At 41.8% G+C, this 12,245-nt stretch overlaps 1 pseudogene and 1 further gene, besides 4 other annotated features; both read right to left on the bottom strand.

Moving 5' to 3' along the window:
• TRB (T cell receptor beta locus) overlaps positions 1–12,245 on the bottom strand; it is a 514,277-nt gene that overhangs the window by 446,854 nt on the left and 55,178 nt on the right.
• Positions 378–1,009: an enhancer, noted in NCBI's record as "OCT4-NANOG-H3K27ac hESC enhancer chr7:142265914-142266545 (GRCh37/hg19 assembly coordinates)". NCBI's record gives its function as "activates a minimal SCP1, AML or CMV promoter by ChIP-STARR-seq in primed H9 embryonic stem cells {active_cell/tissue: H9 hESC(primed)}" and the evidence as "EXISTENCE:reporter gene assay evidence [ECO:0000049][PMID:30033119]".
• Positions 7,478–7,486: a recombination feature (RSS_nonamer).
• Positions 7,487–7,509: a recombination feature (RSS_spacer).
• Positions 7,510–7,516: a recombination feature (RSS_heptamer).
• Positions 7,517–7,803, bottom strand: TRBV8-1 (T cell receptor beta variable 8-1 (pseudogene); annotated as a pseudogene). Its single transcript is given in 1 exon segment — positions 7,517–7,803. A coding segment is annotated over 1 exon segment (287 nt), but the record flags the coding sequence as incomplete, so codon positions are not given.

The following is a 12,245-nucleotide window of genomic DNA, read 5'->3' as shown; positions in this document are numbered from 1 at the left end:
TCCTTCACCTTCTGTCATGATTGCGTGGCTTCCCCAGACATGTGGAACTGTGAGTCTATTAAACCTCTTTTTTTTTTTTTTAAATAAATTACCCCGTCTTGGGTATGTCTTTATTAGCAGGATAAGAACAGACTAATACACCCTCCACTCTCTATCTCTTGCTCCTGATTTTGCGATGTGATGCGCCTGCTCTCCCTTGGCCTTCTGCATACTTATAAGCTTTTGGAGCCTTCCCAGAAACAGATGCCAGTGTTATGCCTCTTGTACAGCCTGCAGAACCATGAGCCAATTAAACCTCTTTTCTTATAAATTACCCAGTCTCAGGTATTCTTTATAGCAATGCTAGAATGGCCTAATATACCTTCTCTCCACTTAAAGACAGGAGAGGGAAGAGTAAAGAGGACTTTTTCTTGAAAATCAGACACCAGCTCAGCCATAGTCAGATAGGGCAATGAGCAGAGTACTGAGGCCCCAATTCTAGGCCCTAGCTCCTGGATGACATTTCTAAACACACCATGGGCCAGAAGGGAACCTGCTGCCTTGTGGGGAAGGAACAAGGCCCAGAAAGATTCATCATCTGCTGAATAAAGAGCACTTGGGCCCTGAATAATCAGCAGCAATGCCCAGGTAGTACTTGCCATAGAGCTTAGGTGAGAATCTGAGACATGCTGGTTTCAGGTGTGATGCAGCACATTCCCAGCTGTGATGAATATGAGGAGAGGCTCCTTCTGCTTGATAAAAGGAGAGGGAATAATAAAGGAGCCTTTGTCTTGCAGATTAGCTACCACCTTGGCCACAGTGGAGTAGAGCACAAAGTAGGCTCCTGGGGTCCCGGATTCCAGGACTTTGCTGTTGGATTGCATTTCTGGACCAGTCCTGGGCCAGAGGAGAGCCCATTGCCCTGAAAGAAGAGTCTCAGGCCTGGCAGCATTTACCACAAGCTGGCTAAAGAGTCCTTGGGCCTTGAGTGAACATTGGCAATAGTCAGGCAATTCTTGCTGTGGGCCTGGGGCGGTGGTAGCCATAGGGAGAGACTCCTCTGGTTGTGAAAGGGCAGGGAAGAGTGGAAATAACTTTATCTTGTGACTTGAATGCCAGCTCAGTTGCAGCAGAATAGAGCACCAGTTAGATCCCCAAGGTTTCTGACTCCAGGCCCTGGCTCCTGGATAACATCTCTGGATGTGCCTGGGGTCAGGGGGCCTCGTGACCCTGAAGGGAAGGGTATAAGACTGGCTGACTTTTCCACATGCTGATTGTAGATCCCTGGGGCCTTGAACATAGGCAACAAGCAAGGCAGTGGTTACTGTGGACCTTGGGTGAGACCCATTATCATGCTGGCTTTTTCTGACCTAGGATCTCAGTGATGGCAGCCACAGGGAGCTTGTACCACTACTCCTCAGTTCCAGGTAGTTCAGCAGAGAGAGAGACAGAGATGTTTGTTTGAGTGAAAGTGAAGGAAGAGAACAAGAGTCTCTGCCTGATAATCCAGAGAATTCTTTCAGATCTTATCCAAGACCACCAAGGCAGTATATCTGTGAGTCCACAAGGACCACAGAATTACTGGACTTGGGGTGCTCCCTAATGCAGATAAGGTTTCAGAGATAGAAAACTTAGATTACAACACCCAAGTACATTCAAATACCTGAAAAGCTTTCCAAGGGCGAGTACAAACAAGCCCAGACTGCAAAGACTACAATAAATACTTAACTCTTCAATGCCCAGACACAGGCAAACATCCACAAGTCTCAAGACCATTCAGGAAAACATGACCTCACCAAATGAACCAAATAAAGCACCAGAGGCCAATCCCAGAGAGAGAGAGAGAGATGTGTGACATTTCAGACACAGAACTCAAAATATCTGTTTTGAAGAAACTCAACAAAATTCAAGACAACACAGCCAAGAAATTCAGAATCCGGAAGAGAGCTAAATAATTAAAAACAATCAAGCAGAAATTTTGGAGCTGAAAATGCAATTGACATTCTGACGAATGCATCAGGGTTTCAACCTCACAATTGATGAGGCAGAAGAATCAGTAAGCTTGAAGACAGGCTATTTGAAAATACACCACCAGAGGAGACAAAAGGATAAAAATTAATGAAGCACAAATACAAGATCTAGAATATAGCCTCAAAAGGGCAACTTTAAGAGTTATTGACCTTAAAGAGGAGGTAGAGAGAGAGATAGGGCTGAAAGTTTATTCAAAGCTATGATAATAGAGAAATTCCCAAACTTAGAGAAAGATATCAATATTCAAGTAAAAGAAGATTATAGAATACCAAGCATATTTAAGTCAAAGAAGACTACATCAAGACAATAATCAAACTTCAAGGATAAATCAAAATTTCAAGGATAAAGAAAGGATTCTAAAAGCAGCAAAAGAAACAGATAACATACCATGGACCACCAATATAGTCTAGCAGCAGACTTTTTCAGTGCAAATCTTACAGGTCATGAGAGAGCAGCATGACATATTTAAAATGCTAAAAAAAAAAACGTTAATACTAGAATAGTGTACTCAGTGAAAATACCCTTCAAACATGAAAGGGAAATAATGACTTCCCCAGACAAACAAAATATGAGGGACTTCCTCAACACCAGACCTGTCCTAGAAGAAATGCAAAAGATAATTTTTCAGCATGAAAGAAAAGAACATTAATGAGAAATAAGAAATTATCTGCAGGTGCAAAACTAACTGATAATAGTGCGAAGAAAAACACAATATTATAATACTGTGATTACGGCGTGTAAACTACTTATAAAGACTAAAAGATGAACCAATTAAAAAAAAAACTACAGCTTTTCAAGACATAGACAGTGCCTAAGATATAAATAGAAATGACACAAAGTTGAAAGGTAGGTGGACAATGTTAAAATATAAGATTTTTACTAGTTTTCTCTGTTTTTTTTTGGTTTGTTTGCTTAGGCAATCAGTGTTATGTTGTCATCAGTATAAGATATTATTTGCAAGCCTCATGCATAGTAATTTTAAATACAAACATATGCAACGTAGTAACTTTAAATACAAACACATACAACAGATACACAAAAATAACAAACAAGAAATGAAAACACGTTATCAGGGAAAATCACCTTTACTAAAAAGAAGACAGGAAAGAAGAAACAAATGAAGAGAAGACCACAAAACAACCAGAAAACAAATACATGGCAGGAGCCAGTACTTAGTTATCAACAATAACATTGAATGTAAATGATGTAAACTCACCAATCAAAGGACATAGAGTAGCTGAATGAATATAAAAATAAGACCCAATGATCTGTCACTTACAAGAAACACACCTCCCCTAAAAAGACATATAGATTGAAAGTGAAGAGATAACAAAAAGATGTTTCATGCACGTGAAAACCAGAAAAGATCAGGAGTAGCTATATCTATATCAGATAAAATATATTTCAAGACAATAACTATAAAAAGAGGCAAAGAAGTTTACTATATAATAATAAAAAAGCTAGCACAAACATATGTATGGAAACTGCCACATTGCCATTATTGGCACATGCTTCTGAGCATGTACCCCAATGCCACCATTTGGAAAAAGTACTTTGGCTGGCATTCCCCATTGCAGTGTTGTTGCCAGTGGAATTGGGAACGCCTCAGCCCCTCTGGTGTAGCAGGTGCTTTAACCTTAAGGGGTCAAAAACCAAAGCTCTGGGCTTAATTCCAGCACCACAGGCCTACAACACGCAGCCCAGAAATACTGAGCTGAATCTTAGCCCCCTGAAATATTCCATAAATGAAGCCAGTCTCCTGAACCCAGCTTATGTAACAGTGAAACCCTCAAGGGCATAGAATATAAAAGCAAAAAACCCTTCCAAAAGACATCAGCTTAAAAGATTAAAGAAACCTCAGACCACAGAGATGAGAAAGAACCAGTGAAAGAACTCTGGCAACTTAAAAAGTCAGAGTGCCTTCTTAGCACCAAATGAACACACTAGCTTCCCAACAATGATTCTTAACCAGGCTGAAGCGGCTGAAATGATAGACATAGAATTCAGAAACAGGTTAGAAACAAACACTATCAAGATTCGGAAGAAAGCTGAAAGTCAATCTAAGGAATCTGATGAATCCAATAAAATGACACATTAGCTGAAAAATGAAATAGCTATTTTATGAAAGAACAAAATTGATCTGATAGAGCTGAAAAACTAACCTCAACAATGTCATAATGTAATCAGAAGTATTAACAGCATAATCAATGAGAAAATAATCTCAGAGCTTGAACACTTATTTTTGAATCAATTCAGTCAGACAAAAAAAGAATGGAAAAAAAAGAAAAATGAATGAAGTAAACCTCTGAGAAATATGGGATTATGTAAAAAGACCAAACCTATGACTCATTGATGTCCCTGAAAGAGGGGGAGAGAGAGTAAGCAACATTGAAAACATATTGGAGGATATTGAGCACAAAAAATTCCCTAACCTTGCTAGAGAGTTTAATATTCAAATTCAGGAAACACGGAGAATTCTTATGAGATACCATAAAAGACAACCACCCCCAAGACACATAGTCATCAGATTCTCCAAGGTCAACATGAAAGAAAAAATATTAAAGTCAGCTAGAAAGAAAAGGCAGGTCACCTACAAAGGGAATCCCATCAGACTAACAGCAGGTTTTTCAGGAGAAACTTTACAAGGCAGAAACAATTGGGAGCCAATATTCAACATTCTTAAAGACATGAAATTCCAACCAGTATCCCTATATATTTCATATCCAGCCAAACTAAGCTTCATAAGGAAAGGAGAAATAAGATCCCTTCAGACAAGCAAATGTTCAAGGAATTTGTTACTACCAGACCTGCCTTACAAGAGGTCCTGAAGGGAGTCCTAAACATAGAAATGAAAGATCACTAACAGCCACCAAAAAACACACTCAAGTACATAGACCATTGACATTATAAAGCAACTACACAATCAAGTCTGCATAACAACCAAGCAAGAACACAATGGCAGGATCATATCTACACGTATTAATATTAACCTTGAATGTAAACAGGCTAAACACAGCACATAAAAGTCGTTTATTATTAAAAGAGCTGCCAGGCGCCGTGGCTCACGCCTGTAATCCCAGCACTGTGGGAGGCCAAGGCGGGCGGATCACCAGGTCAGGAGATCAAGACCATCCGGGCTAACACGGTGAAACCCCGTCTCTACTAAAATACAAAAAATTAGCTGGGCGTGGTGGCGGGCACTTGTAGTCCCAGCTACTCGGGAGGCTGAAGCCGGAGAATGGCGTGAACCCAGGAGGCGGAGCTTGCAGTGAGCCAAGATCGCGCCACTGCACTCCAGCCTGGGCGACAGAGCGAGACTCCATCTCAAAAAAAAAAAAAAAAAAAAAAAAAAAGAGCGTCCAGTTGTATAGACAAGTGAAACACTGAACTGTATGCTGTCTTCGGGAGACCCATCTCATATGCAACTCCCATAGGCTCAACATAAAGCGATGGAGAAAAATGACCAAGCCAATGGGAAACAAAAAAGAGCAGAAGTTGCTATTCTAATTTCAGGCAATACAAACTTTAAACCAACAATTATCAGAAATGACAAAGAAGGGCATTGCATAATGATAAAGGGCCCAATTCAACAAGAAGACCTCACTATCCTAAATATATAGGTACCCAACACTGGTTCAGCTGGATTCATAAAACAAGTTCTTAGAGACCTACAGACACGTAGAAAACCACACAACAATACTGGAAGAGTTCAACACTCAGTATTAGATTGTCAAGGCAGAAAACTAACAAAGATATTCATAAACTAAACTCAACATTTGACTAAGTGGTCCTAACAGACATCTACAGAACACTCCACCCAATAACAGCATAATACACATTCTTCTCATCTACACATGGCACATACTCTGAAATCAACCACATGATTGGACACAGACTAATTGTAAACAAATTATAAAAAAAACTGAAATCATGTCAACCATACTCTTGGACCACAGCACAAAAAAAATAGAAATCAAGAGTTATAAGATCTCTCAAAATCATACAATTACATGGAAATTAAACAATCTGCTAGTGAATGACTTGGGTAAGCCATAAAATGAAGGTAGAAAACAAGACATTCTTTGGCACTAATGAAAACCAAGATTAAATATACTAGAATCTCTGGGACACAGCTATAGCAGTGTTAGGAGTATTGTTTACAGAACGAAACACCCACATAAACAAGTTAGAGAGATCTCACATTAGCAACCTACCACCACACTTAGAGGACATAGTAAAACAAGAACAAATAATCCCAAAGCTAGCAAAAAAAAAAAAAAAATTAGCATCAAAATGAGATCAGCTGACAAGGCGGCTGGGAAACAACTGAGGATCAGTGGCCGAAAGAAAGCTGTCGACAAAGAAAAACTTAAAAAAAAAAACAAACCACACATGGTTGAAATTATTCCAAGAATCGTGAACTGTTACACATTTCACAATTTGGGAATTGGGCATTCATCATTCTCACAATTTAGCCTTTTATTCTGGTCTTCAGCAAAGTGGCCAATTGGTGAACTGATTTTTTTGCCAAGCAAGGAGCCTGCCCGCCTTTATGGCAGCCTCACAGAGGGGTATTGGGCACAGCGTAGACACAGGAGGGGTCACTGCATTTGGGGTTTGCACTTCCTGTGAAGGCCAGCTGTGTACCTCCCAGTCCTGGAGTTAATGGATCTCATCTTAAGGAACCCTGCTCATGTGTGTGAGCTTCAACCTGCACGTTCTAAAGAGGAATAAACGCTAGAGGAAAATAAAACGTTTGATCATTATTATTCTGTAATATTTTACAATAAAAACGACAAGCTCATGGATTTTAATCCAAGCCAAAGTAATGGTAAGAATTAAGTTCCTTCCTTAAGATACCCTCAGAAGGCTCAAACACTGCTCTATGCTCAGAGGTAATAAGTAGAGGCTTAGCTGATAATCTCTACATAATAATTTCACTAGTTGATCATCGTCAGGTATAATGGCACTATGCGATGGATCTACTAACATTTCCTATAAGTAGATTGTTTATTTAGGTCTTTTATAAATTGTTTTCAATACTTTTTGTAGTGTTTGGTATCCATTGGCATCCAGGCCAAGGTGATGTTCTTTGTACCACTTGTAGACTTGTAGAATCCCAGATCACTCAAGCAGGTTAAAGCTGCCCAGCTGCTTTCTGTTTTTTTTTCTTTTCTCTCATAAAGAAAATGAGACACAAATTTCATTTTGGGAGCTACTATTCCTATTTTACGCAACTGCCAGAATATTCTGAATTGAGTAAAATAACATTAAGTGTTGTTTGCATTCGTGCATCCACATCACAGTGATGGACCTCAGCTCACACTGAAGTTCCTGCTGCAGGAGGATGCACAGACTGGGAGCCCATTGCTGGGACATCTGAGAAGAGCTTCAAAAAAGGCATCTTTATCTCCTGGTTGAGATAGAGGCCTTGGGAAGGAGTGCCCACCTCCAGCCTGTGGCTGCCCTTTTTTGTGCAGAGAGCAGCTGGCTGTGCAGGGCTGCGGATGCACTGCCACAGAGGTACAGAGGTCTGGCTGGTGCTAGTAGACTCCAGGGTTGAGGGAAAATGCTTGAGCTTGTTTCCAGAGACATTGTACCCTTCCTTGGCACCGCCTTTGGTCATGCTGCCAATACTACCTGAATAATGGATCAGCCTCAGCCCCTATTCTTGGTCTTATTGATAACAGAACACTGAATAATGGTTCCTAATCTGAGCAAATTTCAGGATGATCTTTTTCCCTGTGTGTCTGTGATATCTTGGTATCTGGCTGATCCCTGCCTCCATGGGGGCTGTGGGAGAGGCAGGCAGAAAGTGAGGACAAGGCTTCAGAAGTGGCAGGACTCTGCAGAGGAAAGGGGAAAAAAAGGCTTGGAGCCTAGACTTTGGAAACGTGTGAAAGGTGGGCCTGTTGTGTTACTCCCCATGCCTACAGAGTTCACCTAGTCTGGGGCATTCTGACTGGGCTCAGGCAGGATCCACCTACTCTCATGGAGGCTGTTGCCTGGTGAGAGCTGCAGGGAAGATGGGGTGCAGCAGAGACGCACTGGGCTTAAGCCACAGCCCACCCCTCACTTTCCCATTTTCCTCTGAGATAGTTGCTCCTCTGTCTGCACCTGCCCTTGACACCAAGGCTGCCAGGCCAAACTTCTTCAACTGTGGATCTCATTAAAGATTAGAGGTATTTCCTGTATGTTGTATAACTGTAGGTAGTCTAGCAATAACTGAAAACTGCTGCAACATCTGCATGATATTGGATGCCAGCCCTGATTTTTCTTAACCCTTTCCTTCCTAGGCTGCTCTCCCAGGCTCTCCCCAGAGTCTCTTAGAGCCCAGTGGACCACAGTGCCATCTTGTGGCCAATAAGTGAAATTTCATCATTGCTTTTGCAAGGGAAATGGCCCAAGGGATGCTGGGAAGTGTCTGCAGAGGGAGCCGGGAGACTATTCCAGAAGTGCCATCCTGCAGGTTTTACAAGCAACTTCTCTGAACCCCGATCCCAACATTAGTTTTAACCCTGACTGTTCCTTTGAGTTATCAAGCTTAATATCCCACCCTCATTCTAAATAATTCTTACCCCATAGCTGCAGTTACAGTCTCACTGACATTTTCTCCCTTAAAACTATCTAAAGAGAGAGGAATAGAATAGGAAGAATAGAAGGAAATAATATTTACCCTAAAGTAGGAAGAAAACACAGAAAGTGAAGTGTAACGTAATTTCATTTCCATTACCAAAGATAAACAAATATGTCCCCCCAAATGACAATGGTACCATAAAAATAAAGATTAGCAAAAGTCTAGGCAGATAATGTGATTACCTTCAAGATGGGGTCAGATATGTGTTAATAAAAAGTAAAACTGGGATATAAAAAATAGGATCCCTTGGTCAGGCGTAGTGGCTTCTGCCTGCAATCCCAGCACTTTGGGAGGCCAAGGCGGGCGGATCACGAGGTCAGGAGATAGAGACCATCCTGGCTAACACGGTGAAACCCCGTCTCTATACTAAAAAATACAGAAAATCATCCGGGCGTGGTGGCGGGCGCCTGTAGTCCCAGCTACTCGCTACTCGGGAGGCTGAGGCAGGAGAATGGCGTGAACCCGGAAGGCAGAGCTTGTAGTGAGCCGAGATTGCGCCACTGCACTCCAGCCTGGGCGACAGAGTGAGACTCTGTCTGGGGGCGGGGGGTAAAGGATCCCTTGCAAGGCAATAAGCAATCATGGAGGGAGCAGTATCTAATGGGAAAATAAGGATGGATATAATTAAGACCAGCAAAAGGTCTGCTACAGTAAAAGAATAGCTTGTGCAATGCACATGTGCTGATCTGAGCAGCAGAGAGGGAGGAGATGATTCTGGAAGAGGTAGAGGAGTGGTGTGAGATGACGGTACGCTGCTGCAAAATAGTATCATAAGGAAGCAAATCAGCCAGGGAACTGGGGATTATATGACCTTTCTATCCACTATCTTCTGTGACAGACCAGATGAACCATTTCCCTTTCCAATGACTTGCTCTACAGTCCTTGCTCCGTCCCAGTTAAAGGCTCCCGGAATTTCTGCTCCTCAGGTTCCCATGGACCAACTCATTCCTTCGTCGTTGAGCAGAGTCTAAAGGGGAGGTCATCTCTTCGTGCCCTGAAGTCCCAGAGTAGCTGGTATAGTCCTCTCTTGTGGCTTGATCACAGGCCCCCAACTCTGTGCCTTTCATTTCCAGTAGACTGAAAGTTAGGTGTGAGTAATGAACCTTGAACAATGCCTTTATCAGAGGGCATGTAAGTGACTGCTTTCAGAATCATTGCTGTTTCTTTCACTGCCTCAGATTATATCTGAACAGAAAAGATGCACAATGGGAATGATTTCTTAAATTAATTTAACCACAAAAATCTTTCAAAGTTCCATAAATAATGCAACCAAAATAATTGCTCTCCTAAATGGTGACATTGTAGAGTGAAACAAAAAGCAAATAAAATTATGTCAAGTATTTGAGAGGAACCTCTGAAACCCAATCCTTCTTATACAAACATCATCGTATGGCCTCCCTCTACCTGAGAGACAGCAGAGCCACACCCATGCCCTGCACCTGGCAGGAAAGCCTTGCTGGAGCCTGTGGGGAGCTGGCGAGGAGGAGACGTGGTGATTCTGCCCCAGAGCAGAGATTCTCTGGGAGCTCTGGATGACCTCCAGGGACTGAGATGGACGGGGGCTGTACTATATATTGGAGAGGAGGACATTTAGGTAGTGTGATCTTTTTGACCTCTCAGCTGGAAATAGATCCAAGGTCATTGGTGACTGGTGTGGAACTGCTTAGTTTCCAAAGCAAATTAGTCCATGCCCAAGGGTGTGTCTGTGCCACTGAAGAATTGTCTGACTCTAAAGTGGTTCACGGCCCAGAGCTGCTGCTTGCCCCATCTCTGTTCCCAATGACTGCAGCATCTACATATTCCATGCAAGGAAGGATAATTTGAAAATAATAAACTGGTTCACTGTATCCTTTAGCTACATTCAAAATAGTTGTCAAGTTGTGGACTGACATGCTTACAGGAGACACAGACCCACAAAGTGAGGGAATTTGGAGATTGAATAGAAATAGTGTCAGGTGAGGTTATTTTAGATTATGGTTTCTAAAAGCAAGAACAGAGAGGAGGTGAATTCGGAGTCCTTTTGGCCCCACAAGACATGACGACATAACAGGGACATCACTGTCTCAGAAAACATTCCAGTGATGTGCTGGTACACTGAGTGTCTGTGGAGGTGGGCACATGCCTAGTAGTACTTACCAATTTCTGTTGTATCAACACAGGCACTATGGTGGATTTCAAGCTGTCAACATGGCTTCACTGAATGGGGAGCTGGGAAGAGTGTGCCTATTTGTCTCTCGTGAGTCAGAAAAGTTGGCTCCAGCACATCAATTGACTCAGAAGCCCAACTTTCAAAGCTCTTCAGTGCTTAATACTCAACTCCTAGAAATGAGGCATCAGCAACGATAGCAAAGCCCATTGTTTTTGTAATAGGATGAGAGTGTGACCCTGGGTCTTCGAGTGGACAAAGGGAAGTTTGAGCCCAGAAAGGATTGATGAGTTCTCTGAAGTTGCTGAGAGCACAGAGCTCTCAGGGTTGTGCTGGCTGGTTTGGAAACTTCTAGACTTTGATTTGAAATACTTTTATTGACGTGCTCCTTTTTTAACTCAAAGAGATTAGTTACATTCATTTGGAGCAGGGCCTTTATTGCTTCTTGTTTGCTTATTAATAAAACCTTCCCTTTGCTGTCCTTGTATGTTAACTCTCAGTGCAGGTGGGAAACCCTGCTCACCTTTTTTTACCACTTCTTTCAGCATCAGTGTTTACAGTTGTGGTTTGTGTTCTGTTCAATCTTAAGTTTCAGAGCTGGTCCATTATTAGGACCATTTGTCTTAGGGGTCATGAGGATAAAGGTGGGAAAAGCTGGAGACAGGGTCTAGCAAGGAAGTCCTTGGAACAGCATCCTAAGGTCAGGAAATTCCCATCTGTGCCTGGGACTTATTCACTCCCAGGACACACAGGGCAACTAAAAAAGGAATGATCTGTTGATAGAACAATTAGAATGGATTCAGAACAATCCCTGCCAACGATCATCATTTGCTAGAGAAAGAAATTTGGTATCTGAGCTACCACAATTTCTGATAAGTGAATTTAGGGAACTATAATTCCCCAACCAGCTCTGCAGGACTCAGGGCACCTCTGTCCTGGCTGGGTCTGGGATAATCTATCTTAACCTTTGTGTATAGGGCTGTCTCTGAGGACTCCCAGAAACCCATGATCCATAATCATGTCAGCTCTGACCACAGCTTGAAATTTCATATATGTGAAATGTAGCTTCACTCAAAGAGAGGTGAAGAATTTTTATTACAGTATACTCATTTATATTTGCAACAAACACTATATTGCAATATGTAAAATAACAAACAAAACAAAAGTAATATAAGCATTATTGTTTTTAAAACTCCATCTTCTCAAGTTAAAGACCTCAGGGAAATTATTTCAAATCAAAAGACTAGAGCAGCAATTACCAGAGGTTGGGATGGAGATGGGGTGCTGGGGAGATGTTGGTTAAAGGATACAAAATTTCACTCAAATAGGAGGAAGAAGTTCAAAAGATCTATTGTACAACACAGTGACTAAAGTTAGTAACAGTGGATTGTATTCTGGAATATTGCTAACAGAGTACATTTCAAGTATTCTCACCACAGGAAAGGATAAGGA

This window comes from Homo sapiens, chromosome 7, assembly GCF_000001405.40.
Source record: "Homo sapiens chromosome 7, GRCh38.p14 Primary Assembly".
In the NCBI taxonomy this organism is placed as follows: domain Eukaryota; kingdom Metazoa; phylum Chordata; class Mammalia; order Primates; family Hominidae; genus Homo; species Homo sapiens.
The sequence above is the reverse complement of the archived record's forward strand: the minus strand, read 5'-3'. Positions and strand labels throughout refer to the sequence as shown.